Below are 4,588 nucleotides of genomic sequence, written 5' to 3'. Positions count from 1 at the left end.
CACATTTGTTGATGTGAATAGGAGTTAGAGAATTATTATAGATGCCACACTATTGTACATAGACAAAAGTGTTAGTCACAGTTCCCAGTGATCCCCATATTGCAGTAATGTGGAAATATAAATTTGACAGCATGTTAAATATAAAGGATAAAATCAACCCGTGATTTTTCTTCAGACACCCATTATAGCCCCTTGATGTAGAGACTACAAAGAGAATACACCTGGCTCTAACAAAACTTACTTCATTCTGGCTAGCCTTACAATTTGAGATGTTCCGACACTAGGTTCTCTTTTTATGTTCTTACTCTCTAAAATTTTTCTAGTGGAAATGGAGAAGTTGGTTGTCATTTCATTGCTACAATTAAAATTGATCACAGATTTTAATCATGATTACCATTTTGATGGTTAAAGAAAAGCGACTTGGTCATCTCAATAAGAAATACTTTTCAAACTCTTTTATGTTCAGTTTGAGACACCTGAAGATTAAGAGTCTATCAGAACATTCCCAGCCAGTTTGAGCCCTGTCACTAAATACTAACAACAACAAAAAAAAAGTAACAAAAAAAAAAGTTTCCTGTATTATGAAATCCAGAGAGGTAAAGTCTTATTGTAGGTCTTGATTGCCAAAAAAAAAAAAAAAAAAAAAAAAAAAAAACAACCAGCAAAAATGTGAGGGAAATAATACTTTCTGGTGTGCTAAAAGTGACTATGAAGATCAAACTCCTTTAAAATCAAGGAGGGTCTGTGTTTGTGTCAGTCAGCTGCTGTTTTCCTCATTGGAAAAGATTCTTACTTTGAAAACTTAGGTTTCACCAAGCTATTCTGCTACAGTCACCACGGCTTTAATGATTGCCCTTTCCTCAAGTCTATTCTTGTTTACTCCTCAACAGAAAGAACTTTAGATTAGTGTATGTATCTCCATCTTTTCGTGGCTACTGAACCTCCTTTTCTCCTGAACACCTTGTTGAGAACAATTTAAGAGTCTGGCTTTATACTTCCTCTGCAATAAAGAACAAAATGTTCCCGGCATGATAATTCTACTTGGGAATGGATAAGTTCTCATATGCTTAAATTCTGAAAGGTACGTGAGATGGTCTGTTCTAAATGACAGGTTGCCATGGTTACATCCTTCTGTGGCTCACATGGGGATAGGGCCAATTATCAAGTTTTGTTTGGTTGATTTTAAGTAGTTTGTTACCTGGATACTCAACAAATAAGAAAACTGGGGGGAAAAAAGACTTGTTTTCTTCTTCCCTAGAAAGGAAGCAGTCATTGTTGGGGGGAAAGCCCTTAAATTCCAAACAACATGGTAAATTATTTAGTTCAGATAGAGTTTCTAAATTGTTGACTTTATTTCGGGACTAGCATAAGGCCTGTGAACTAAGATAGCTTTAAATGCTATGAATTGGATTTTTTGTTAGCTCTGTTGATCCTATAATATTTGTGTTAAGTAATTCATTCCCCTCCTCTTTTCCAGATTTGTCTGGTGCTTTTCAAATGCGTGTGTGTGTGTGTGTGTGTGTGTATTTTAAGTTAGTCCTTTTGTGAGTTTTGCTGCTCGGCCTCATTCCTCCCTCCCATGGTGGAAGTAAGATTGTTAATTAATGATATTCCAGAGGCAATTTCTGGAGTGACTATTGGAAAACCCTTCTTAATTAACAAAATGATAAATTCCCCACTGCAGCAGTGCTGCAAGTGAAGTTCATCTGTGTCATTCAAAATCTATGATTTTAAAACATTCTCTGACATTTTTTTGAGGATATTGGGCATTTAAAGTCTGGATCTTTTATCAAAGTTTCCGTAGCCAGCTGGAGAAGGAGAAATGCAGAGTGAAAAGGAGAAAGAAGAACTGGACAAAATTAAAATGCTCTTCTGTCATTGTAATAGTTCATATGGGCACTGACAGGAGAGCATTTTGACTTTGTCAAGTGTGTCTGCTACTCATTTATTCCATCTCCTGCTTGTTACCGAAGTTTCAGATTAAATGTAAAGATATGAATGTATTGCCATAATAAATTTATAAGTGGATATTTAAAGAGCAAAGATTTGAATGACACAAATGAACCTCGGTATAGCAGTAAAGTGGACAGGATTTGCAGAAAGATGCCACAGAGTCAGAAATGACTGCTGGAATCGCCTTAATTAAAAAAAAAAAAAAAAAAAAAAACTAAAAAAACTTGAGCTTCATAAGCCGCCATAGAAGGTGTCTAATGTGAAATTAGGCTTACTTTACATTATTTATGCCACTTTAAAACGATGTAATAAAAGCTTTCAAAAATCTGATTAAGCTGTATTATTCAAATACAAGGCACTTACTTAAGCAATGGAAAAGCTAAGCTGTTAAATTTGGGGGCAGGGAGTAAGATTCTAGACAAAGTTAAAGCAGCATGTTTTTAAAAATGTATGGTTTCTTTTTAAGATATCTAGAAAATACAATTAACTTTTTGAAATCATATTTAGTTGAGTGAATAGTAATCCCAATGTAGTAAACTGTAGAGATAACACTTTCTAAGGATGCCTTATCTTACTTCCCACAAGAGGCTTAGGGTTCCTTTAAATGTCATGGGAAAACTGCATAACCTAAGATACTCCTGTAGGGTTTGCATAACACTGGTATGCATAATAAGAAAGAAAGCAATGTGAGGGGGCACCCAGCTTCTATGACCTGATGTGTGGTGAGGACCCAGAGCACAGGGCTGAGAAGAAGCAATGGGGAGTTAAAATGAGGACATGGGGATAAATTATTTGACATGATCCTGAGCAGACCTGACTTTTGTAATGACACTCAAACAGCAGATAACCCTGAAGGCAATCTGAAAAAGAAGAATACAGTGGTCACACTAGCAGATAGGAAAGAGATGAGTAAGCTTTTCTGAATTGTCTGAATCACTACTGAAAAGCACGTCCTTCGACTGTGAACACCACTTCTCTTTTCTTCTCATGTCTGCTGCCCTTCGGCTAATACAGTGTAAGAATTCATTTTGTTTATCTGCTCCAACACAGAATAACTCCAGTGAGGATAAAGTTATAAGGATTGTAAGGAAGAGGGAAAGAAAAATGTATACAAAAATAACCATGGAAGTTTCAGAATAATAGCATGAGAAGAAAAAATTTGTTTAGGTTGGTTTTCTGATATTATCCAAATAAATATTACTTTCAAAATCATAATATCTGCCTTGAGCTTAAATGGAGAGAAAGGAAATGGAAAAGTTCCTTACTGAATCTGAGATCTAGTGTTTTGTTTACACTTGAATATAGGTAGTAAATCTTAGGAGCAGTTCAGTTAGAATAATCATTTTAAAATTACTTATGGGACTAAAAAGCTTATGCTTTTAGCAGACCCATTCAGTAAATTGGGGTGAGAGGAGAAAATGGGGCTCTTTAGCAAATGACCAACATCTACAGATTTTGCCTAATAAGACATTTCTATGGGGCAGATGCCTTATCAAACTTTCAAACAATTAAACTTGGTTTTATTATAAAGTCAAGCTGATAGTAAATGTCTTTACTTTTTAAAGTAGATTTTATTGGTTATATAACTACTCACACAAACTGGGAAAAATCATTTTAATGTATGGCACAGATCTTAGATAAATGATATATGAGATAGAATTTCCAGATTCTAGGTATAGGGTACGGTCACAATTTATAAATTGCAAATGAAGGGTATAGTCTGTAAGTAACTAATCTAATCTTTCTCATGACCTCTATGTCACTGAATACTGTGCAGGGAGGGGTGGTGGGATGAAAACTTGACAATTAATGGTCTCCCAGTCTCTTCATATTTTAGACAATTTCTCTTGAAAAAAGAAGAGATTCTTTGGGTTTCCTTTCACCTCCAGATAGCATCTGGGTAGATTGGTGGCAATGAGGATAGTGCTGCTAGTCCCAGCTGGCCTCCTTGGTTGTCATGAAGGCAACCACTACTGAGATTCATGGTCCCAGTTATTTGCATGCAAGTACACTAAAAACTCACCACAATTTCTTAGTCCTGACCCCAGGCCTCTGCTATTTCACCAGTCTTCTCAGTACCTTGAACCCTTACTGAGGCATGCAAAAACTTCTAAGCCCCTCCACATAGGCCTTGGGGACTGGGATCACAGCCTCTGGCTCCTGTCTCTAGCCACCTCCCTGTAACAGCACTGAGCTACCCACCTCCTTCCCTTCCTTCCTCTCCTGCAAGACTATTCCTAGATGTTTGCAATGACTCTCAGGCTTTGGAGAAAGAAGACCTTTGCTATTATGTTCCCAAATTTCCTCATAGATATTTAGAGTTTCTGTAGGCCCCTGCCTCAAGTTTGGCCCCTTTTGCTGCACCTCTGACTCTCGTCTTGATCCTTATTCCATTAGGGCCAAGAGGGGGAGGGCTGTCTACTTTCTCTTTCTATATGGAAGCACTTAACCTAAGCTATGCACTCCTTTTCAGTTTCACTGAATTTTTCCTGCTTCATTTAACTCAAAATGCAGTCATCAAATCTTTATAATCCCATCAAGTCCCTGTGAACTCAACCCCCACCACGTCTCTGATTTTACCTTCTACTAGTTTTCCTGTTTTTTATTTCACTCCAGGTACATAGACTTCCCTATT

At 36.9% G+C, this 4,588-nt stretch overlaps 1 non-coding gene across 1 annotated transcript, besides 1 other annotated feature; it reads left to right on the top strand.

Moving 5' to 3' along the window:
- Window positions 1–1,839: 1,839 nt before the first annotated feature.
- On the top strand, window positions 1,840–1,939 carry MIR3660 (microRNA 3660). Its single transcript, NR_037433.1, has one exon. It is a non-coding gene; the product is annotated as a microRNA 3660 (primary transcript).
- Window positions 3,800–3,849: an enhancer, noted in NCBI's record as "active region_22775". NCBI's record gives its function as "activates an Ori minimal core promoter by ATAC-STARR-seq in GM12878 lymphoblastoid cells {active_cell/tissue: GM12878}" and the evidence as "EXISTENCE:reporter gene assay evidence [ECO:0000049][PMID:35858748]".

Source organism: Homo sapiens, chromosome 5 (genome assembly GCF_000001405.40).
Source record: "Homo sapiens chromosome 5, GRCh38.p14 Primary Assembly".
Classification (NCBI taxonomy): domain Eukaryota; kingdom Metazoa; phylum Chordata; class Mammalia; order Primates; family Hominidae; genus Homo; species Homo sapiens.
Note: the sequence above shows the minus strand (reverse complement) of the source record. Positions and strands in the feature narration are given on the sequence as shown.